Genomic DNA, 23,133 nt, shown 5'->3' with positions numbered 1-23,133 from the left:
GGTGGCAGCAGTAGCAAGGAGAAGGAGAAGAAGAAGGAGGAGGAGAAGGAGAAGGATGAGGAGGAGGGAGAGGAGAAGAAGAAGAAGACGAAGAAGAAGAGGAGGAGGAGGAAGAGGAGGAGGAGAAAACAAAGAAAAAAAGTGGTTAGGAGCCAGGGAGAATACAACAGGAAGAGCTAACATAGGTAGCAGTTCCAGACAGAGAAGGGAAAACGAGACAAATTCAATATTTGAAAACATGAAGTCTGACTTTTTTTCCATATCTAATAAGCACCACCAAATGCATAGATTCTAGAGATCCAATGAATCCCAAGCAAGATAGGTAGGAAGAAATTCATGTCTGGACATATTGTAGTGAAAATATAGAACACCAAAGTCAAAGAGGAGATCCTAGAAGCAACCAGAGAGAAAGCAGAGGAGATTCTTTAAGTGTTTCAGTGTTGCAACAGTGAGATATTCAAAGGCAGGGAGTATAGGGAAATGGGGCTCTAGTAGAGCCAATTATTAAGGGTGATTTTGAGCCAGAGGAGTGATACGATGAGATCTGTGTTTCAGAATCTGAGTATGGAAAGCCAGGTGCGCTGCTCAAACCTGTAATCTCAGCACTTTGGGGGGCCAAGGTGTGTGGATCGCTTGAGACCAGGAGTTTGAGACCAGCCTGGGCAACAGAGTAAGAGACGCTGTTTCTTTTTCTTTTCTTTTCTTTTTTTTTTTTTTGAGACAGAGTTTCACTCTGTCACCCAGGCTGGAGTGCAGTGGCGTGATCTCGGCTCGCTGCAACCTCCGCCTCCCGGGTTCAAACGATTCTCCTGTCTCAGCCTCCCAAGTAGCTGGGACTACAGGTGCCCACAACCAGACCTGGCTAATTTTTGTAGTTTTAGTAGAGACAGGGTTTCATATTGGCCAGGCTGGTCTCGAACTCCTGACCTTGTGATCCACCTGCCTTGGCCTCCCAAAGTGCTGGAATTACAGGTGTGAGCCACCGCGCCTGGCAAGAGACGCTGTTTCTACAAAAAAATAAACAAAAAAAATTAGCTGAGCATGGTGGCATGTACCTATAGTCCCAGCCATTTGAGAGGCTGAGGTAGGAGGATCACCTGGGCCCGGGGGCTCAAGGCTACAGTGTTCACACCACTGCACTCCAGCCTAGTGTGCAGACTGGAGTGATGGAGTGAGACTCTGTCTCAAAAAAAAAAAAAAAAAAGAAAGAAAAGAAAAGAAAGATGCGGTTCTACTCAGCGTCATCTGATTGCTACCCTGTAAAAGTGCAGCCCCAGAGTTCTGAGCTTCTGATATCCCAAAAGAAATGGAAACAGGTGGCCCCTGGATGAAGGAGGAGGTCAGGGGTGGCTGGAAGGCAGGTCCTGGGGAGTGTAGGGGCTGGAAGAAGACGGAGGGGGAAGGTGTGGTAGACACTATTATAATAGCTGACTGATCCTTGTGTACCATTCCCAATTCCCCTCTTCCCTGCTGCTTTCCACTGTGGAGGCTGGAAAAGAGAAACTACTTACCTTCTCAGCCTTTGTTGCAGCTGGGAGTGACCATGTGACACAGTTTTGGCCAATGACATCTAAGGAGTCTCATTAGATCTCATTATGTGTGTGTGGCAGGGGTGGGGGTGGGGGGTGAGGGGGGCGGGGTGCCTGGGAAATTATTGACGAAAGTGACAAACGCTTTCAATTAACCCTGAAAGTAACCATTCCTTTTCCTTTCTGTCTTAAATGCGGAGGCAGATGCAACGCCAGGAGCAGCATCAGCCACGCTGTAAACAAGGGGGAAACGCCAAGCGCATTACAGAGGACGTCAGCCCTGCCATCACTGGGCTGGGGAAACAATGCCAGCCATGGCTGGTCTCCGGGTTCACAGTGATAGGGGAAATAAACCCTTATTTGTCTAAGCCATTGTGATTTGTTTTCCTTTTTTTTTTTTTTCAGCCACTTTACAGAAGAGGGATATTTGTTAAAATTCAGAAGGAGAGAGAAAAGGAGAGACTGCGCAGGTTGAAACGGTGGTGGGAAAATGTCAAAGAGAGAGAGACTTTGTTTGCAGGTGGCAGGGGCCTGAGCACGATTTTGTCACAATAGCAGATTGAGCACAGGATGTGCCAGGCACAGCGCTTTATACTGATCGACGCGTTTTAAAAATATTTTGTAGGCCGGGCGCGGTGGTTCACGCCTGTAATCCCAGCACTTTGGGAGGCTCAGGCGGGCGGATCACGAGGTCAGGAAATTGTGACCATCCTGGCTAACACGGTGAAACCCCGTCTCTAGCAAAAATACAAAAAATTAGCCAGGCGTGGTGGCACGCGCCTGTAGTCCCAGCTACTCGAGAGGATGAGGCAGGAGAATCGCTTGAACTCGGGAGACAGAGGTTGCAGTGAGCTGAGATCGCTCACTTGAGATCGCGCCACTGCACTCCAGCCTGGGCGATAGAGCGAGACTCCGGCTAAAAAACAAACAAACAAACAACAAAAAAAAACAAATTTGTAGAGACGGGGGGGGGGGGGGTCTCACAATGTTGACCAGGCTAGTCTCGAACTCCTGACCTCAAGCCGTCCTCAGGCCCGGCCTCCCAAAGTGCTAGGATTAAGGCCTGAGCCACCGCGCCCAGCAGAACGCATTTAGTTCTCACTGCAACTTTCTGAGGCAGGCTGTGCTGTTATCCCCACCACACAGAGGGAACTGCGGTGCTCTTCTTAGACAAGAAAAGCGCCAGCCAGCGGGTGGTGAGGCAGGATTTGAACTCGAGCACACGGAGCCCATCCAGTCCCGATGGACTGACTCCTCCGTCAGCGGAGGAGGGAGCGAGTCGTTAGGTGAACAGTGAGTGTCTCAGGGTCCCGAGTGTGAGGTGGGGCGTCGGATGTGTCGCGGGGTCCTGCCTGGCCGTGTCCGGGCCGAGGCAGGGGAGGACGATCCGGGGCAGGGCAGCCAGCACTGCTCTCCCTGAGGGCCGGGGCTGTGCGCGCTGCGCGGTCTGTGCGTGGGATACGCCGGGCCCCGCCTCGCCTTCCCGCCCCGTCTCCCAGTCCTCCGCCCTGGCCCTGCCATAGGGAGCCCGGCCCGGGGGTTCTGCGGCTGCCGCAGCCCTGACAGGGGCCGGGGACGTGGAGGGAGCGGGCCGGCGCTGGCGCAGCCGCAGAACTGTGCAGGAGAGACTGTGACCCCGGTGGCCCTCTCTGAGTCTTGGTTTCTTCCTCCGTGAAATGGGGCTTGAGCAGCGCCTCCTCGACGGGGAAGAGGGCCCGCAGAGACAGCGCGCCAGAGAGTCCAGGGCAGCGCAGGGAAGGAGCCTGTGGATCCCTCCCAGACCCATCCCACCGCCGATCCCGCCCAGGGGCGGCCCAGAGCATTTCCTGAAGGGCCTCAGGAAATACCAGGCCCCCGCCCCCAACCCTCCCGCCACCCCCGCCGCCCCCGCCCGTCCGCCCGCTAGCGTCCAGCTCCCTGGCCGCCCCTCCCCCGCCTCCTTCCGGCCGGCCCCCTGCTCGCATCTTGGCTTGCTGAGGCTGCGGGTCTTGGCCGGGCCTTCGAGAATCCCCCGCCGCCTCCCCTTCTGGATGTATCTGCGCCGCCTCCTTTCTCCCTCCCCTTCCTTCCAGCCCTTCATTCCCTCGGGGCGGGCGGGCAGGCCGGCAGGCCCCGCGCAAACCTGGGGAAAGGTAGGTGGAGGGTGCGGGGTCCGATAACTGGCGGCCACACCCAGTAGGCCAGGCAGCTGCAGGAAAGAGGTTAAAGGAGTTGGAAGAGATTCTGGGAACTCGGGGAAGGAATCAGGGAAAGCTGCCTGGAGGAGGCGACATTTAAGTTTGGACTGGAAGAGCAAGGCGGGTCAGACAATAATTCATGTATTTACCAAGCATTTATCGAGCACTTACTGTGTTCAAGACCCTGGGGTTGGGGCAGGAGGCAAGATAACTGTGTCCTTATGGGTTTTGCAGTAGGGAAAACAGTGAAGGCAACCATCTCACAAACTGCTGGAGTTGAGACCACCAGAGGGGACAATAGAATGTTAGTTCCATTTGATCAATGAGACCAGAGAGGACTGGGGTGAAATTACTTTCCCACAGTCACAAGTAGTAGAACTGGGATTCGAACGTGTGCTACTGTAACATGAGCCCCTAACCACAGGAGTCTCTGTGGCTTTTCAAAGCAGACACGCTGCTGCACACAGGAGCAGCTGCCAGCCTGCCTTGCAGCAGCCATGGCCATGCTGCAGGGCCCACCCGGGGCAGGTGCTGGCAGAGGGGACAGCCAGCCACTGGTGGGAGATCTTGCCCTGGGAGAGGCAGCAGCGGAAATTGCTGTGGGATGGTGGAGGCTGTGGTGGCCATGATGTGGTTGCTTCGGGGCCCCTGTGGTTCCAACCAGGGCACTGTGCCTGCCTTCTGTGGCTTCTTCACCCACAGAGAACCCTCACTGGGGCCATGTCCTGCTTCCTGGAGCTGAGATTGAGTCTGGGAGCCCAGGTGGAACCCTTCTCACTCTCTGGGGACCTCCCACCCTTTATCTCCTGGGAGGCTGGGCTAGCATTCCTGCTTTATAGAAGAGGAAACCAGGGTCAGAGAGGCATGATGGCTCGTCCAGGGCCACACAGCAGAAGGCCCGTGTCTGCTCAATGACTGAAGATACGCGGCTCTTTTCTTGATTCTCCATTCATTCGTTCATTCACTCACTCACTGTAACACACGCACATATCCTCTGGGTACTCACTATTCCATTGCACAGCAACCTGAAGGCTTCCAGCTAAGCTTGAGCACCTGAGGACCAGCGACTCTGCCTGGGGGCTTCATCCAGCAGCTGCAGCCTGCTGGCCCCTGCCCCAGAAGGCCACCGTGGTGCTAGAGTAGGCTGTAAAGTGCTATCCCCCGAGTAGCCTTGATGCACAACTGACCTGGTGAGAGTTAGTGATAAACAGTTCTGCATCATCGCCCAAGGTTCCCCAGCTGTCCATAGTGTTATGTGCTCATTCCCATACCCTTTGTTGGCTCCTTCCCTTCCCTGTATCATTTTCCTGACAACCTGAAGGTGATTCTTGGGATCTCATTCAAGCCAAAAACCTTGCACTGGAATATTTTTCCGGACTGGGCTTCTGAGGGTAGCAAATGAAGACATTCATTTATTCAGTCTTCAAACACGATTGACCTAACCTGAGCCCGCCCCATGCTGGGCTCTGGGGGTGTGGGCATGATTCATAGGCATTTTCTGGCCTCCAGAGCCCCTTGCTTGACGGAAGAGGCAGGAACAGCTTCTGATGATTCTAACCCAGTGTGGTTAATGACGTGACCACATCTCCAGGGAGAATGACCCCTTCTGCCTGGGAGGTCAAGCGGCATCTCCAAAGATGTTCCCTTCCAGCTTGGCTTTGAAGGATGAGGAGGTGTTCCCCATCGGGACCAGGGGGCTGGGGAAATGGCATTCTTGGCAAAGAGAACAGCATGTGCAGACCAGGAGCAGGAGCAAGGAGGGGCTGACAGATGGTGGCACTAGGGACGTTGGCAGGGTCAGACTGTGCCAGCCTTGAAGGCCAGGGGAGACCCTGGGACTGTGGCGTGGTCATGGGAAACCACCACTGACAGTTTTGGAGCAAGGGCAGGATTTGGTTTTAGGAAACGCACTTTCTCTGGAAAGACCTACAGGTTTAACGGTCCTTCCTTCCTCATTGTAACTCCCAGCAAGTCAAGGGAGTCCACCCTGGTGCAGCTGAACAGCAGCATCGCTATACGTGGAGCTCTTATTAACACTTCATTCACTGGGTCTTCACACCCTTGAGTGAAGCATCCTTTTTAGTAACCTCTTTTTATAAGTGGGGAAACTGAGGCACGGTACAGGACTCAATCAAGGTCCCATAGCTAGGAAGCGGGGGCATTGGGATTAGAACCCATGTTTCTTGGCCAGGCATGGTGGCTCACGCCTGTAATCTCAGCACTTTGGGAGGCCGAGGTGAGCGGATCACCTGAAGTCAGGAGTTCGAGACTGGCCTGGCCAAGATGGCAAAACCCTAAACATACAAAAATTAGCCAGGCGTGGTGGCACACGCCTGTAATCCAAGCTACTCGGGAGGCTGAGGCAGGAGAATTGCTTGAACCCAGGAGGTGGAGGTTGCAGTGAGCCGAGATCGTGCCACTGCATCCAGCCTGGGCAACGGAGCAAGACTCCGTCTTAAAAAAAAAAAAAAAAAAAAAAGACTGGGCACGGTGGCTCATGCCTGTAATCCCAGCACTTTGGGAGGCCGAGGTGGGTGGATCATGAGGTCAGGAGATCGAGACCATCCTGGCTAACATGGTGAAACCCTGTCTCTACTAAAAATACAAAAAATTAGCTGAGCTTGGTGGCAGGTGCCTGTAGTCTCAGCTACTCGGGAGGCTGAGGCAGGAGAATGGCGTGAACCCAGGAGGCAGAGCTTGCAGAGAGCCAGGATCACACCACTGCACTCTCGGGACAGAGTGAGACTCTGTCTCAAAACAAAACAAAAACAAAAACCCAAACAACAACAACAACAACAAAAGAAGCTGTGTTTCTTTGGCTTTAAGCCCATCCTCTACGTTGCGCCACTGCCATGCTTTTCAGAGGCTAGAGGGCTCCAGGAACCACCTTCTTTCCCCGGCACAGCCCTGGGGGTGGGTGGGTGGGCAGAGAAGGGACAAGCAGCCCAAGTCACAGCCAGGGATGGAGACAGCATGGCTTCTTTCGGAGAAATGAAGAAGCAGGAGTGTTATTCTTGGCCAGGATGGGAAACGGGTTGGAATCTTGGCTCCTATGCTCACCAGCCATGTGGTCTGTGGCAAGCCACATCCTCTCTCTGTGTCTTGACTTACCCATCTGTAAAATGGTGGCTCCTCATAACCCCCACCTCATAGGGCTGTTGTGAAGATTGAACGTACTGAAGACTCAAATTCTTAGTACACTGCCAGGCACGTAGGAAGAGCTCTTAGAGTGTTATTTTATAGCCCTCATTTGAGAGGGTGTGGGCAGGAGCACAGCCTCTGGGCTCCAATCCACAAACTGCCATCTACTAGTCCATTTGTGAGCTGGCTGGTAAATTCACCTTCCTGGGCCTCAGTTTCTTCATCAGTAAAATGGGATAATGATGGTGCCTTCCTAGTTGGGTTGTGGTGAAGGTTAAATGAGATGCCATGTGGAAGTGCAGAGGAGAAGGGCTGCTATAAGGGGCTCCAGGTGGGTGCTGCTGTTATGATTGGGCACCTACTGCATGCTGTGTCCCTGCATACAGGAGTCGACCTTTGAGACCTGCTTATTCATGGCTGTTTCACGGATGTCGAAGTGGAGGCTCAGCAGGGTTGGAGGTTCCCGGAGTCTCCCAGCTGGTAAGGGCGGTGTCAGGACTGGAACCCCAGCCAGGCTGACTCAGACATCCCTGGGGCCTGAGCCCAGCAGGGCAGCTGTGACTCAAGTTTGCAGGAAGAGGAGGAGGAGGGTGGGGTAAATGGGTGCTTGACGGAAGCCACAACCTCTATTCCCTCAGAAATGGAAGTGCTTGGTGAGGTTTGGTGTGTCCGAGCCGAAGAGCAGCCAATGACAGGCCTGGGGATCGTCTGGCACAGCCCACTTGACAAGGCCTTGGAAACTTGGTCTCTGCAGCAGCAACCGGATTTCAGCCTGGGCCTCGGACACCTCGGCCTGGGTACGGATGCGACTTGGATGCAGTCCTTCCCTGGCAGTGGAGGGGATGCCCAGGCTGGCACAGGAGTCTCGGGTCCTCTCCGGCTCTACCCCAATCTGCTGTGTGATTTTGGGCCCAGGCAGGGACCCCTCTGGGCTCTGTTACTGGAGAAAAGGCAAATGGCTGGTACGGGTGGGTCCCCAGCCCTCCTTGCCTGGAGGTCTGCGAGTTGGAGGGCTCTGGGGTAAAGCCAGAGCCAGGCCCGGGGAGAGCCTAGGCTCATCTCTGGTGAACAGGGTACCCTCTAGCCAAAGCAGGGGCAAGGCGAGGCACATGCCCCTCATATGGGAGCTGGGGCTGACCCCCTCTCCTAGCCCTGCACACCTTGAGCACGTGGCCTTGGCCCATCTGCCCTGTGGGTGGACACTTTCCAGCCCTGGGTCCTGAACTCTACCAATCAGCAGGAACCTAGACTCCTGAGGGGTGCAGCCTGGATGGGAGGTCAGGGAACTGGGTTCCTGAGCGCATCTCTGTGCCATTCATCTCTCCATTGGTTTCCCAAATGTGGACTGAGCACACACTGTGAGTCAGGCCTGAGCTAGGTTCTAGGGATGCTACTGTCAACAAGACAGATGAAGGTTCCTGCCCTCATGGAGGGGAGGGAGACAATAAGCAAAGAAATAAATGCATGATGTAATGTCAGCCAGGGAGCGATGCTGCAAAGCAGGGTGGGCGTGGGGAGTGACGCAGGCCGGGGTTGGGGAGGCATCGTTGTAGTGGTCGGGAAGACTGCTCCGAGAGGCAGACTGAGGGAAGGAGGATGGACATCTAGATGTCTGAGGGAAGGGCCATTTGGGCAGAGGAAAGAGCACAGGGCTCAGTGTGTGTGGGGGGGAGGTTGGAGGGGGCTCCGTGTGTAAGGGTGCGAATGGGGAAGGGAGGCAGGCTGCGAGTGGACAGGGCTATATGTAGACTTCATTCTAACTGTGACGCAAAGGCCTTGCAGGGTTTGGGAGGGGGACATGATCTCATTTGGTCTTCCCAATAACTCCCTGCCAGAAAGAGACAGAGCCCCAAATTGCAGTGAGGAAGCTGAGGCTTAGAGGACATCCCTGCACATGTCTGGGGTGTCATATCATCATCGGAGGAGCTGGGACTCAAACCCAGCTCTGGAACCTGCTCTGTCCCCAGCTCCATGATAACATTGTGTGAGGTGCTGGGTGCAGCTCCCAACTCCTCCCTGCTCAACCATGCTCTGTTAGCCTGTGGTCTACAGAGTGGCTTCCTCCAGGGATGTCTTGATGTCTTGCCTTTTTTTTTTTTTTTTTTTTGAGACAGGGTGTTGCTCCATTGCCCAGGCTGAAGTGCAGTGGTGGGATGATAACTCACTGCAGCCTCAACTTCCTGGGCTTAACAGATCCTCCCACCTCAGCCTCTCAAGTAGCTGAGATTACAGGTGCACACCAATACGCCTGGCTAATTAAAAAACAACAAACAAACAAACAAACAAACAAAAATATGTTTTTTTTGTAGAGATGGGGTCTCACTGGGTTGCCCAGGCTGGTCTGAAACTCTTGCCCTCAAGTGATCCTCCCGTCTCAGACTCTCCAAGTGCTAGGATTGAGCCACCACGCCCATCTGGGATGCCTTGTCTTTTATACCTTTACTCCACAAATATGTGCTTAGGCATTGCTTGCTGTGGCCAGAACCTTGCAGGGGTGAGAGACACAGGTAAATGAGAGCTGGTCCCAGCCCTCCCTCAGAAAGCTGCTGGACCACAGGGTGACAAAACTGAAGCTGTCTGTCACATCCGGGAGCAGGTGCTATGAGGATAAGCAGCCAGAGAAGACCCCTAACTTGATCTGTGGCCATCAAAGAAGGCACCCAAGGCAGGATGCCTCCCTGAATCCTAAAGCCAATTAGCAGTCAGCCAGGACAGCTGCTAGAGGGGGTCTAAGGGGGAGTGGAGAGGATGTTCCAGGCAGAGGGAACAGCAGACAGGAAGGCTCAGAGGTGAGTGTGAGCAGGCAGTCTCAGGGACCCCAGACAGTTGGTGAGGCTGCAGTGCTCAGGGGAGGTGTGCCAACAGGTAAGCTGGCAGGGCCGGGTCCCTGGGGGCTGGCTTGTCCTTTCTGCCATTGTCTGAGAGAGTGGGTGGCTGGTATCTGGTGGCCCAGATGAAGATAATGGAGATGCAATTGTGTTCTTCTTTCTGCTCAGTGCCTCTCAGTTAAGGACATTTGCAAAAATTAATAACAGCATATGCTTTTATGTCCTCCACTTAAATTTCCTTTGGATTAAAGAAAGTAACGGAGGGAAAGGAAGAAAAGCAGGAAGGAGCGAGAGAGGGAGGGGAGAAAGAGACAAAAGAAGGAAAATAATTTGGGGAAAAAAAATTTGTCCTTTTCTGGGCTAAGATAGCCCCAGCCTTTGCATTTTCTCACCCACTGAGTCACCAGCCTCCTGCCCTCTTTCAGGACTGTACATCTTGGCCTCTTACCTACTGTGTCCGCGTCAGCCTCCCTCACAGCCTGATGGCCCCTGCGGCAGCCCCAACCCGGTTTCAGGGGCTAAGAAAACTACAGTTGCATGAACGGGTGGAGGTGAGTGGGAGGCAGAAGCGGCGGGGAGAACCAGTCTGTTCCGAGATCTCTGGACCAACCAGTGGATCCTGATGGTCAGCCTTGTCTAGAGCCCCTTCCAGCGTGCAGGCCAGTCCTCCTGGCATTCTTCTAATTACACCGAGCTGTGAGTTATGTGTGCCAAGTATGTGCTGGATTTTGTACCAAGTGCTTTCCATTCATCAGTTCAGGGTAGTGATGCAGGTAGCTCCAGGCTCAGAGAGGAACAGTGACTTCTCCCAGGTCACACAGCTGGAAAGTGGCTGAGTCTGGATTCAAACCCAGACTTCCTTGTTGCTAGGACCTGTATTTTCAACCACTGCCTATGCCTCTATAACGAGCCAGCTTATGGCTGTGTTCACGCAAAGAGAAAAGCATCCAAATGGGAAGGCTGGAGAATTCAAGCAATTTTCCCGCGTGTCAGACAGTCCTGTTTCCCTCTCCCTTCAAAAAAAGTCCTGGATTATCTCTCTCTCTCTCTCTCTCTTTCTTTTTCCTTTTCCTTTTTGTTTTTTTTCTTTGTTTGTTCTTTCTTTCTTTCTTTTTTTTTTTTTTTGAAACAGGGTATTACTCTGTTACTCAGGCTGGAGTGCAGTGGTGTGATCACAGCCCACTGCAGCCTTGATGTACCTGTGTCCCTGGCCTCAGGTGATCCTCCCACCTCAGCCTCCCAAGTAGCTGTGACTATCCCGAGAAGCTGAGACTACAGGTGTGCGCATGCCATCACGCCTCACTAATTATTTTACTTTTTGTAAAGACAGGTTTTTTTCGCCATGTTACTCAGACTGGTCTTGAACTCCTGGGCTTGAGTGATCCATCGGCTCCCAAAGTGTTGGGATTACAGGCATGAGCCACTGCACCTGGCCTGACATCTCAGTCTTGATTTGCACTTTTTGCCCAAAATAATCGAGTGTAAGGCAGGCCAGAAGTGGTCAGGGGGCAGGGACAGTCCCCAGCAGGGTGGCAAGTCTTTCTGCAACATTTTTGGAATACAAGCAGAAAGTGATTTGCTATTCCACACAAAACATGATTGGGAGGGCACTGGATGAATACAACTAAGATCTAAGCATTACTTCAACAAATATATACACAGAGCTAAATCAGTATCAGGAAGTAGTGGAGAAGCACTCAGAATAGGCACAGATCTCCACAGCTGTTAAGAGTCTTGTTACTTTTTTTTTTTTTTTTTGAGATGGATTCTTGCTCTGTCGCCCAGGCTGGAGTGCAGTGGCGCGATCTCAGCTCACTGCAACCTCCGCCTCCCGGGTTTAAGTGATTCTCCTGCCTCAGCCTCCCAAGTAGTTTGCCTTAAGGAGTGTAGACAAAAAGCAAGGGAAGCGTCCCCAGAGAGATCCCGGCCCACAGGGTCAGTGCCTCATCCCCACATAACATAAAAACAGCCTGGGACAGGCGCCCATCACCATGCCTGGCTAATTTTTGTATTTTTTAGTAGAGACGGGGTTTCACCAAATTGGCCAGGCTGGTCTCGAACTCCTGACCTGGTGATCCACCTGCCTCGGCCTCCCAAAGTGCTGGGATTACAGGCGTGAGCCACCGCGCCCGGCCACATTCTTTTTTTTTTTTTTTTTTTTTTTTTTTGAGATGGAGTCTCGTTCTGTCACCCAGGCTGGAGTACAGTGGCATGATATCAGCTCACTGCAATCTCGGGCTCCCGGGTTCAAGCCATTCTCCTGCCTCAGCCTCCCAAGTAGCTGGGATTACAGGTGCACACCACCACGCCCAGCTAATTTTTGTATTTTTTAAGTAGAGACGGGGTTTCACCATGTTGGTCAGTCTGGACTCGAACTCCTGACCTTGTGATCCGCCCACCTCTGCCTCCGAAAGTGCTGGGATTACAGGCGTGAGCCACTGTGCTCGGTCAGCTGTTTATTGATTTTGAGTATGTTATTGATTTTGTGAATGGAGAAGGGATCATCGGGTAGGGTTCTTTGATCTGGAGCAAAAGATATGGATTCTGATTAACCAAAGGGGAAAAAAGAGGGGGGTGGATTTAGTGGAAAGAACTGGAGTAGTTCAGAGAACCAAAGGCAAGCCAGCACGGTGGCTCACGCCTATAATCCCAAAGACTTGGGAGGCTGAGGTGGGAGGATCGCTTGAGCCCAGGAGTTTGAGGCTGCAGTGAGCCATGATCACGCCGCTGCACTCCAGCCTGGGTAACAGAACAAGACTGTCTCAAAACAAATAAACAAAACAAAACAAAGGCCAGGCTTGGACAGGCCACCACCCAAGGTAGCTGCAGGATCTCAGAAATGAGAATTAACAGGCAAGTTTTTTGTTTGTTTGTTTGTTTGTTTGTTTTTGAGACGGAGTCTCGCTCTATCGCCCAGGCTGGAGTGCAGTGGCGCGATCTTGGCTCACTGCAAACTCCGCCTCCCGGGTTCATGCCATTCTCCTGCCTTAGCCTCCCGAGTAGCTGGGACTACAGGCGCCCGCCACCACACCCGGCTGATTTTTTGTATTTTTATAGAGACGGGGTTTCACTGTGTTAGCCAGGATGGTCTCGATCTGACCTCGTGATCCACCTGCCTCGGCCTCCCAAAGTTCTGGGATTACAGGCGTGAGCCACCGCGCCCGGCCTGTTTGTTTTTTGAGGTGGATTCTCGCTCTGTCACCCAGGCTGGAGTACAGTGGCGTCATCTCGGTGCACTGCAACCTCTGCCTCCCACGTTCAAGGGATTCTCCTGCCTCAGCCTCCCAAGTAGCTGGGACTACAGGCGTGTACCACCATGCCCCGCTAATTTTTGTATTTTTAGTAGAGACAGGGTTTCACCATGTTGGCCAGGCTAGTCTTGAACTCCTGATCTCATGTGATCCGCCTGCCTCGGCCTCCCAAAGTGCTGGGATTACAGGCATGAGCTACTGTGCCCGACCAGCAGGCAAGTTTTTGAAGGCAACACTGCTGTGGGTGGTCCACAGGGTGGACAGATGCTGGGCAGTTAATTCAACAGAGGACCTCTCCAGGTGGCTAGGGTGTTGGCTGACAGCATGCAAATCCCCAGAGCTCTCACCTGCAGCTGGCATGTGAAACCCCACTGAACATGAAGCAGTTTTGTTCTGTAAATCCTACCTTTGGATCTGAGAACCAAATATAGGTTGAGATACCTGGCCTACCAGTAACCTTTAGTCTAGACTATGGAATTTCCCTTCTAGAAACTTACCCTGCAGTTAAATTTGCGCAAGAACATGTATGAGAAACAGAATGCAGGGTATAATGTACGTCATCTGCTGGGGACTGGTTAAATATAGGAAGGCTTTAAGAATGAGGTTGGGTACAGGGGCTCACGCCTGTAATCCCAGCACTTTGGGAGACCGAGGTGGGTGGATCACCTGAGGTCAGAAGTTCGAGACCAGCCTGGCCAATGTGGCGAAACCCCATCTCTACTAAAAATACAAAAATCAGGGGCCGGGAGTGGTGGCTCACGCCTGTAATCCCAGCACTTTGGGAGGCCAAGGTGGGTGGATCACTTGAGGTCAGGAGTTTGAGACCAGCCTGGCCAACACGGTGAAACCCCATCTCCACTAAAAATACAAAAAAGTAGCTGGGCATGGCGGCACATGCCTGTAATCCCAGCTACTCGGGAGGCTGAGGCAGGAGAATCGCTGAACCTGGGAGGTAGAGGTTGCAGTGAGCCAAGATCACACCACTGCACTCCAGCCTAGGCAACAGAGTGAGACTCCGTCTGAGAAAAAAAAAAATTTGGGCCGGGTGCAGTGGGTCACCTGAGGTCAGGAGTTCAAGACCAGCCTGGTCAACATGGTGAAACCGCATCTCTCCTAAAAATACAAACGTTATCTGGGCATGGTGGTGCATGCCTGTAGTCCCAGCTACTCGGGAGGCTGAGGCAGGACAATCATTTGAACCTGGAACACGGAGGTTGCAGTGAGCTGAGATTGTGCCACTGCACTCCAGCCTGGGCAACAGAGCAAGACTCTGACTCAAAAAAAAAAAAAAAAAAAAGAGCCTGGGCGTGGTGGCTGACGCCTGTAATCCTAGCACTTTGGGAGGCCGAGGCGGGTGGATCACCTGAGGTCAAGAGTTCAAGACCAGCCTGGCCAATATGGTGAAACCCAGTCTCTACTAAAAATACAAAAGAATTAGCTGGGCATGGTGGTGCATGCCTGTAATGCCAGCTGCTCGGGAGCCTGAGGCAGGAGAATTGCTTGAACCTGGGAGGCGTAGGTTGCAGTGAGCCGAGATCGTGCCACTGCACTCCAGCCTGAGCGACAGAGACTCCGTCTCAAAACAAACAAACAAACAAACAGAATAAGGCAGTTCTCTTTTGGTGGGTGTGCAACAATCTCCAAGAGTTACACTGTTAATGATATAAGCATGAGGTAGTGTGTGGAGGGAGTTACTGTTTCCATGCGTGGGGGTGAAGGAAATACATACAATAAGATTATGTCAGAATCTCTGTTACACTGTAACAGTGATTGCCATTAGGGAGGGGACCTGCAGATCAGGAGAAACAGTAGGAGGGAGACTTGTTGCATATGTCCTTATGCACTGATTGAACTTTTTTTCTGTGCATGTATTTTTTTTTTTTTTCTTTTTCTTCGAGATGGAGTATTGCTCTGTCACCCAGGCTGGAGTGCAGTGATGCGATGTCAGCTCACTGCAAACTCCGCCTCCTGGGTTCAAGCAATTCTCCTGCCTTAGCCTCCTGAGTAGCTGAGATTACAGGCATGTGCCACCACGTCTGGCTAATTTTTGTACTTTTTTTTTTTTTTTTGTAGAGATGGGGTTTCCCTATGTTGCCCAGGCTGGTCAAATGCTACTCTTTTGAGCAGACTTCTTTGTATTACAGTTTGGAGTGGTTATGTTTTAACTCTCAAGCCAAGCTGAAAGTTTTAAGTGTGTGAAACTTGTCTGTAAATTTTCTGAAGAAGCAAGCACCGTGCCCTTCTGAGGCAGGTGAGGAGCTACGGCTTTCTCAGAACACACTAAGAGTCTCTTGTAGAAAGGTGCTATGCACATTTCCAAAGAAGGGGCGCTCTGAGAGAGGACAGCAGAGAATAGTGGATAGATGTTGGTCCCTGGCTCTGACTGACATGTGAAAATCTCAGCCTATCAGCTGGGCCACCAGCTATTGCCCCTCTCTGCACCTCAGTTTACTTTGCTCATCTGTTAAACAGTGATAAGTGTGCCTGTCCTACCCTGTTGCAACGATCTGTCAAGAAAACAAGCCAAGACCGGGTGCCGTGGCTCATGCCTGTAATCTTAGCACTTTGGGAGGCTGAGTCAGGCAGATCACTTGAGGCCAGGAGTTCAAGACCAGCCTGGCCAACATGGTAAAACTGTGTCTCTACTAAAAATACAAAAGTTAGCCGGGCATGGTGGCCTGCACCTGTAATTCCAGCTACTCTGGAGGCTGAGGCAGGAGAATCACTTGAACCTGGGAGGTGGAGGTTGCAGTGAGCCGAGATCTCACCACTGCACTCCAGCCTGGGTGACAGAAAACAAAAAAGACCTGAAGCCAAGGTTGTGTCTGTTTACTAAAACAATGCACGTGAAATGTTTTGTCCAGGTAGTTACCATTTCTTTTTCTTTGGGTGGGAGGGGGGTGTTGTTTGCTTTTTGTGGTTGTGTTTTTGTGTTTTGTTTGTTTGATTTGTTTTTGAGACAAGGTCTCGCTACTGGACCCAAGCGATTCTCCCACCTCAGTCTCCCAAAGTGCTGGGATTACAGGTGTGAACCACCAGGCTCAGCTTATGATAACTGTTTCAAGTCAGAATTTGACAATCTGAAGAAAACTTTTTTTTTTTTTTTGAGACGGAGTCTTGCTCTGTTGTCCAGGCTGGAGTGCAGTGGCGTGATCTTGGCTTACTGCAACCTCTGCCTCCCGGGTTCATGGGATTCTCCTGCCTCAGCCTCCCGAGTAGCTGGGATTACAGGTGTGCACCACCACGCCTGGCTAATTTTTGTATTTTTAGTAGAGACGGGGTTTCCCCATGTTGGCCAGGCTGGTCTCAAACTCCTGACCTCAAGTGATCCACCCACCTCGGTCGGCCTCCCAAAGTGCTGGGATTGGGATTACAGGCATGAGCCACTGTGCCCAGCCAAAAACATTTTCTTTTCTTTTGAGAAAGAGTCTCACCCTGTCACCCAGGCTAGAGTGCAATGGTGTGATCTCAGCTCACTGCAACTTCTGCCTCCCAGGTTCAAGTGATTCTCTTGCTTCAGCCTCCCGAGTAGCTGGGATTACAGGCATGCACCACCATGCCCAGGTAATTTTTTGCGTCTTTAGTAGAGACAGGTTTTCATAATGTTGGCCAGGCTGGTCTCGAACTCCTGACCTTGTGATCCAGCCACCTCGGCCTCCCAAAGTGCTGGGATTATAGGCGTAAGCCACGGTGACCAGCCTGAAAACGTTTTCTAAATGGCCCATTTTGTTTGGAATCTTCACCACTTTGGGAAAAAGCCTAAAGATTAATGGAACAGAAATGTGCCATAAGATCAGAGACTAGATATTGAGTGGATGCTATCTTTTTTTTTTTTTTTTTTTTTTTTTTTTGAGACAGAGTCTTGCTCTGTTGCCCAGGCTGGAGTGCAGTGGCACGATCTCAGCTCACTGCAACCTCTGCCTCCCAGGTTCAAGCAATTCTCTGCCTCAGCCTCCTGAGTAGCTGGGATTACAGGTGCCCGCCACCACGCCCGGCTAATTTTTTGGTATTTTTAGTAGAGACGGGGTTTCACCATCTTGGCCAGGATGGTCTCAAACTCCTGACCTTGTGATCCACCCTCCTCGGCCTCCCAAAGTGCTGGGATTATAGGCGTGAGCCACTGCGCCCAGCCACGGATTTTTCTCTCTCATTTCCCGTCTGTGCCCAGCCTTCCAGCCAGCCCACTATCGCCAAATCGCCCCAAGTACCTTCTAGCCCAGCGGAGGAGAGAGCCTGCTCTTTCTTTTTTCTTTTCTTTTTTTTTTTTTTTTTGAGGCGTGGTCTCGCTCTGTCACCCAGGCTAGAGTGCAATGGCGCTATCTCGGCTCACTGCAAGCTCCGCCTCCCAGGTTCACGCCATTCTCCTGCCTCAGCCTCCCGAGTAGCTGGGACTACAGGCGCCCACCACCGCGCCCGGCTAATTTTTTTTGTATTTTTAGTAGAGACGGGGTTTCACCGTGTTAGCCAGGATGGTCTCGAACTCCTGACCTCGTGATCCACCCGCCTCAGCCTCCCAAAGTGCTGGGATTACAGGCGTGAGCCACCGCACCCAGCCGAGCCTGCTCTTTCAAACTGGCCAGAGGCAGAGCCTGTCCTGGCTGGGACTGGGCAGAGGAACTAACTGGAACCTCTCACACTCGGCGTGTCCACCCAGGACAGGCCTTGTGGGGCTGGGACTGGAGGCGGTGCAGCTGTGGGTCAAGATCATGGCAGACATGACTGCAGCGCTGCCCCGCTGTGCTTCGGGGGTGGCTGGCCTGCCTCACGGCCCAGGAGGAGCAAATTGGGCCCTATGTTTCAGTTTCTCCACCAGTCATCCCTGGGGCAGCTTGCTGCTTTATTGATGTTTTAAGATGAAAGATTTCAGATAAAGATGTGTTCAAGGCCGGGCGCGGTGGCTCATGCCTGTAATTCCAGCACTTTGGGAGGCCGAGGCGGGCGGATCAAGAGGTCAGGAGATCGAGACCATCCTGGCTAAACCCCATCTCTACTAAAAAACAAAAAAAAATTAGCCAGACGTGGTGGCGGGTGCCTGTAGTCCCAGCTACTCCAGAGGCTGAGGCGGGAGAATGGCATGAACCCAGGAGGTGGAGGTTGCAGTGAGCCAAAATCGCGCCACTGCACTCCAGCCTGGGCGACAGAGCAAGACTCTGTCTCTAAAAAAAAAAAAAAGATGTGTTCAAGGTTCCCACCCTCTGATCTGTATGAGGCATAGGGCAAAACAGGATTCCCCCTACTCCATTCCAGTCAAGGGGTCCAAACCACTTCTAAACACACCTCCAGGCATTTGCACACAGAGTGTCCTCCAGCTAGAGGGAATTTTTCTTGAAATCCTCATGCCCCAGTGGGGAAACTGAGGCCCCGAGTGCAGCCGCGACCTGCCCAGAGCCACAACAGCAAGAAAGGTCAGAGCTGGGGCCACATTTGAGCTCATACATGTAAAACGTTGCCTAATGCCCTCCTGATTGGTTATTATCACATAACAATAGCAATAATAATTATTCCAATTATGCTATTACTATTGTTCCAGAGCTCATCATTCCAAGTCCATTTCTACTTTGCCATGTTGCTACCTGGGCTGTGCCCCCCAGGAGGCCCTCCCTCCCTGCCTCATCCTCTCTGCCTGGCCAAACCTTAGCTACCCTTCCCAGCTCTATAGCCAGCCTGCCTGGACTTAGACCCCAGCCCACCTCTCTGGGCCTCTGCGTCCTGGCCTGCCAAATGTGGGCGATAGTGCACTCCTTGCAAGGGAGCTGAGAGGCCTGGGACCCTGGGGGCTGTGTGGGTGCTGCCAACAGAGCCACCCTAGGCCCACCTGGCTGGGCTAGGGGCTGTGGGGAGAACACAGAACAGTCCCAGCTCCCAACCAGAAAGAAGACAGTTTAGGACCCCGAGGGAGGGCACCTGTTCAGGTGGCTGGCGGAGCTAATAGCTGGGAAAGCCTGGGGCCCTGTGAGCCGGGTGAGGCAGGGTAGGGGCACAGGATGACCACTGGGAGGTAGATAGCCCCTCAGCCTCCTGAGCCACAGGCTAGGGATCTTTTTGTTCACATTTGGGCTAAATGAGATCCAACCACCAGTCCAAAGCACTTGATGCCTTGATGGGACACATGCACGCGCGCGCGCGCGCACACACACACACACACACACACACACACACACACCCCTACCTCTCCTGGGTTGTAAATTGAAATCTGGTTAAACAATTTGGTCGCAATACATTTGCAAGCTTGGGTTCACCCACAGCCTGAGTTCCTTCAGGTCTATGGTTCTCCTGAACAAGAGGGTGGTGTCTGTCACCCCAGCTGCCCAGATCTGCTGCTCCATCTGTCCTATCCCTGCCTGTGGTTGAGTTTCTCCACCAGTCATCCCTGGGGTGGCTTCCTTCCTTATTGATGTTTTAAGATGAAAGATTTAAGATAAAGATGTGTTCAAGTTTCCCACCCTCTGGTCTGTATGAGGCGTAGGGCAAAATGGGATTCCCCCTACTCCATTACAGTCAAGGGGTCCAAACCACTTCTCCCTTTTTTTTTTTTTTGAGACGGAGTCTCGCCCTGTCACCCAGGCTGGAGTGCAATGGTGCGATCTCGGTTCACTGCAGCCTCCGCCTCCTGGGTTCAAGCGATTATCTCATCTAAGCCTTCTGAGTAGCTGGGATTACAGGCACCTGCCACAACGCCTAGCTAATTTTTGTATTTTTAGTAGCTGGGATTACAGGCACCTGCCACAACGCCTAGCTAATTTTTGTATTTTTAGTAGAGACAGGGTTTCACCATGTTGGCCTGGCTGGTCTCAAACTCCTGACCTTGGGTGATCTGCCCACCTCGGCCTCCCAAAGTGCTGGGATTACAGGTGTGAGCAACGGCGCCCAGCCCCAAACCACTTCTAAATACACCTCCAGGCATTTGCACACAGTATTTCCTCCAACTGGAAGGAATTTTTCTTGAACTCCTACTCATGCCTCAAGGCCCAGGTAAAATGGCGCATCCTGTGAGAGCTGCATCAGACCCCATCACGCAGTCAGGGCCTTCTTGGATCCCTCAGCCCCTCTCATAGCCTTCTTGTAACTTGCTACTCAAAATGACTTGCATATGAGACACTAAAAAGGCAGGGAGGCAGGAGTGGGCCCTGAAGGTCCAGTCTAGCTGGGACTCAGCAAACAGAGCATCACTTTCCAGGTCTTAGGTCCTCATTGCGATGCTTTGTTCTTGAAACCCACTTCTGTTGGTTCTGAACTGGGATTGCAGCCCACCAGGTGTTCTGACCCTGAACCCAGGCTCCGGTGGCCAACCCATTGCTCTAAGATGCATCCAGCCCTCAGGGTCACACAGCCAGAAAGAGAGCTAGTTCATGTGCTCGTGACGCGGAGGTGGGTGTGCAGGCAGATGTGTGTCTCCTGCCCTGTCTGGCCTTCCGAAGCCTCCCAGAGGCTTCCGAGAGGCAGCCTCTGAGCCCCATGACTCCCTAGTGCCACGTGCTAACCAGCCCAGGGTTTACTGAACTTTGGCCGTGGTGCCTGGGGAGGAGCACTGCTTCAAGCAGTGGAGTGACGGTGACCCACAGCTGGGCAGGCGAGAAGCCTGGAGACAGGGATCCCAGTGGCTCCACCTCTGGGGCACCGGGTACCCAGGCAGAAGGCCCTGACTCCCTGTTGGCCCCGAGGAGGGGCCTGCATACAGGTGGCCCCACTCCTCTGGGTGAGGGGACAGAAAGGGTGTGGTGGGTTTGAAAATGATTTCAAACCCAAACGACCACAACTTTGAATTTTATGGTATTTGAAGTTCATCTTTAGATACTTGGAAAGTTATCTAGAGCAGATAGAACGTTATCTGGAGCAGTTCTTTGATCATATAGTAGAGTCAGGGAGTGGAGAACAGGAGATAAGGGAAAGGGAGCCAGGGACCCAGGGATTCTAGGGCTTTCCAACCTGGGAACTGGAGAATTCTCAAATCTGGGAAACGTGCATGTGCCAGCCCCTACCTAGTCTGTGTGTGGCACATACTAGGTGCTCAGTAAATGGCAAATCTTGCCCCTTCTCCCACCTGGTCCAAATGTCCTGCTTTACAGCAGAGGACAGTGAGGCTTGGGTGCAGCCCCTCCTGCTGAGCCAGCCCCTGCCTGAGGCCAAGCGGTGCTGTCTCTGTCATCTCACAGCCCAGCATCCCAGCTGTCACTCCCTCTCCCAGCCTGGCCCTTTTCCCTAGCCTGGCTGGGCTCTTGCTCATGGCCCTCACCAGAAATAATGCCTTTTCCCTTTTCTCTGTCTAGTCTTGACCTTAGCCATCCTTCAAGGCCCAGGTGGAGCCTCAAAGCATTTGAGAATCCCCCAGACTGGGGCTACCCTCTGGGGCCTCTCCAGACCTCATCTCCACTCCCCTTCCCAAGGCCTGTGGGAACTTCAGGGCTTGCAGGAGGAACTGAATCTGAGTCCAGATGGCCCCGGAACCGGGAGGGCTGGATCCAGTGCAGCCGGCTCTGCTGCATGAGCCTCCCAGAGCCAGAGGAGGGAGGGGGCACTGGGATTGTGGGCCTGAGTTGGTGAGAGGAGAGGCTGCTGGAGCCATTCACTTCAGTGGGCAGTGCCGGGGGTGTGAGAGCGTCTCCATTGTGTCTGAGTGTGCATTCCTGGGATGCTTGTGTGTGTGTGTGTCTGTGTGTGTCTCCCACTGTGTGGAGTGACTGTTATGTGTGAGTCTCTCACTGAGCAATCATGAGTATCTTTGTCTCTCTGTGTGACCCCTACATCCACCTACCCAGGGGAACAAGGGGCTAGGCTGACCCCTGGGCTGTCAGAAAAGCCCCAAGGACCAAGTCAGGCCTAATGCTGGCAGCAGCCAGTCCTGCCCAGCGAGTTTTTCTGGCCTGGTGGCGGCAGCAGCAGCAGCAGCAGCAGCAGCAGCAAAGGTAACAGTGTCAGCCCAGAGAGGAAAAACAAGGCTGGGGTGGGGGCAGGAGCCCTAGGACACCCCCTCCACCACCCCAACCAGGGCTTGTGGACGTGTGGACCCACCTGGGTGCTAACTGCCCGCTGGGCGATCTCCATCAGGCATGGCCCCTCTCTGGCCTCAGTTTGCCCATCTGTGAAAAGGAGGGGTGGAACAACCTGTTCGGCAGCAGACAGGAACCAGAGTCAAGCTGAGCTTGGGAGGGGCAGGACACTGGTGCAGACAGACTCCTGCTGGGTCTTTGGAGCTCAGGGAGGGTGGGTGGAGGACAGACCAGGTCTGTCAGGGCACAGAGGTCGGTGGGCACCAGCTCTAAGTTCCTCGCTGTGTGACCTTGGGGAAGTTGCTGCACCTCTCCAGGCTTCAGTTTCCTTACCTGCAAGCTGGGCTTCTGGGGATCAGGCAGGTCTCCTCACTTCCTCCCTGTCCTTGCCTGCAGCCAGTCCCTTCCTCCTAAAATTGCACCCCCCCTCCACCACTTCCCTGCTTCATTTTCTCCAAAGCCTTGGTCATTGTGTAAGATTTTATACAATTTCCTAATCACTTATTGTCTGTCACCCAGTAGCACATGGGCACTTGAGGGACAGAGAGCTTTGCCCTATTTTGTTGCTGGCTGAATCCCCAGGCCCTGGGACAGGGCTGGCACACAGCAGGGGTTCAGTGACCAGATGGGCAGGGCAAACACATGTGCATTGACTCCAGGGTACCTCTGGCTAGAAAGGAGGCAAATATGTCACTTGGAGACAAACTGTCATTTATGGCAGAAGAGTCCACAGTAGCTTGGATAGGAGTGTGGGGCAAAAGTTAGGCAGCCCAGACATTGCACGCCAGCCTTGGCCCCTGGCCCGCTGCCCGCCAGCTCAGACATGCTCCCTGGAGGAGGAGGGGGACAGCCCTTTGTAAACTCATAAAGGGCAGCTAGCTATGGCCACAGTTGCTCTAGGAGGCAGCATGAGGCCCATAAACCCCACCTCTGACAGCTTTACAGGGCTTGGTGTGAGTATGCCAGAGATGCCATGCATAGTGCCATCAGAGTTCCCAAGTACCAACCAGCAAGGGTGGAAGAGCTCTTACACACAAATCTGCCAGGCTGTCATTTTCCGAGGTGGCCATCAGGTCACCCGGCTTCCCAGCATCTGGGTTCCCTGACTCCCTGTGCTGCTGCCTCTTCTCTAAGAGTGCTGGATTCATGGGCAGGGGGTGGGGGGCAGCCTTCCAGGCCAGGAGGGGCTCCCTAATTCCTCCCCAGCTTGGTGTGCAGTC

At 53.0% G+C, this 23,133-nt stretch overlaps 1 protein-coding gene and 1 long non-coding RNA gene across 6 annotated transcripts in view, besides 3 other annotated features; one reads left to right on the top strand and one right to left on the bottom strand.

Annotated features, from left to right (window-relative positions):
• The first annotated feature begins 3,481 nt into the window (after nt 1-3,481).
• On the top strand, nt 3,482-11,460 carry GRAPL-AS1 (GRAPL antisense RNA 1). The gene is made up of 4 exons (NR_160285.2): nt 3,482-3,661; nt 7,234-7,327; nt 7,486-7,644; nt 10,101-11,460. It is a non-coding gene; the product is annotated as a GRAPL antisense RNA 1 (long non-coding RNA).
• The window catches only part of GRAPL (GRB2 related adaptor protein like), a 31,599-nt gene continuing 15,384 nt past the window's right edge, over nt 6,919-23,133 (bottom strand). Inside the window, exons 4-5 of one of the 5 annotated variants that reach the window (XR_007065298.1) lie at nt 21,936-22,003; nt 6,919-7,787 (exon numbers count right to left, since the gene is read on the bottom strand). Coding sequence is in view for 4 of the 5 variants with exons in the window: in XM_017024636.3 (XP_016880125.1) it covers nt 12,279-12,414 (136 nt within the window). In the remaining variant the exon portion in view is untranslated. Of the gene's footprint in view, nt 12,415-18,741; nt 22,004-23,133 lie in introns of those variants that run through there. The other 4 variants (XM_017024636.3, NM_001129778.3, NM_001353418.2 and 1 more) reach the window with 4 other exon arrangements.
• Nucleotides 7,156-7,681: an enhancer, noted in NCBI's record as "H3K4me1 hESC enhancer chr17:19061738-19062263 (GRCh37/hg19 assembly coordinates)". NCBI's record gives its function as "activates a minimal SCP1, AML or CMV promoter by ChIP-STARR-seq in naive H9 embryonic stem cells {active_cell/tissue: H9 hESC(naive)}" and the evidence as "EXISTENCE:reporter gene assay evidence [ECO:0000049][PMID:30033119]".
• Nucleotides 20,959-21,470: an enhancer, noted in NCBI's record as "H3K27ac-H3K4me1 hESC enhancer chr17:19047949-19048460 (GRCh37/hg19 assembly coordinates)". NCBI's record gives its function as "activates a minimal SCP1, AML or CMV promoter by ChIP-STARR-seq in naive H9 embryonic stem cells {active_cell/tissue: H9 hESC(naive)}" and the evidence as "EXISTENCE:reporter gene assay evidence [ECO:0000049][PMID:30033119]".
• Nucleotides 22,496-23,008: an enhancer, noted in NCBI's record as "H3K4me1 hESC enhancer chr17:19046411-19046923 (GRCh37/hg19 assembly coordinates)". NCBI's record gives its function as "activates a minimal SCP1, AML or CMV promoter by ChIP-STARR-seq in primed H9 embryonic stem cells {active_cell/tissue: H9 hESC(primed)}" and the evidence as "EXISTENCE:reporter gene assay evidence [ECO:0000049][PMID:30033119]".

The sequence above is a fragment of the Homo sapiens genome, chromosome 17 (genome assembly GCF_000001405.40).
Source record: "Homo sapiens chromosome 17, GRCh38.p14 Primary Assembly".
Classification (NCBI taxonomy): domain Eukaryota; kingdom Metazoa; phylum Chordata; class Mammalia; order Primates; family Hominidae; genus Homo; species Homo sapiens.
Note: the sequence above shows the minus strand (reverse complement) of the source record. Positions and strands in the feature narration are given on the sequence as shown.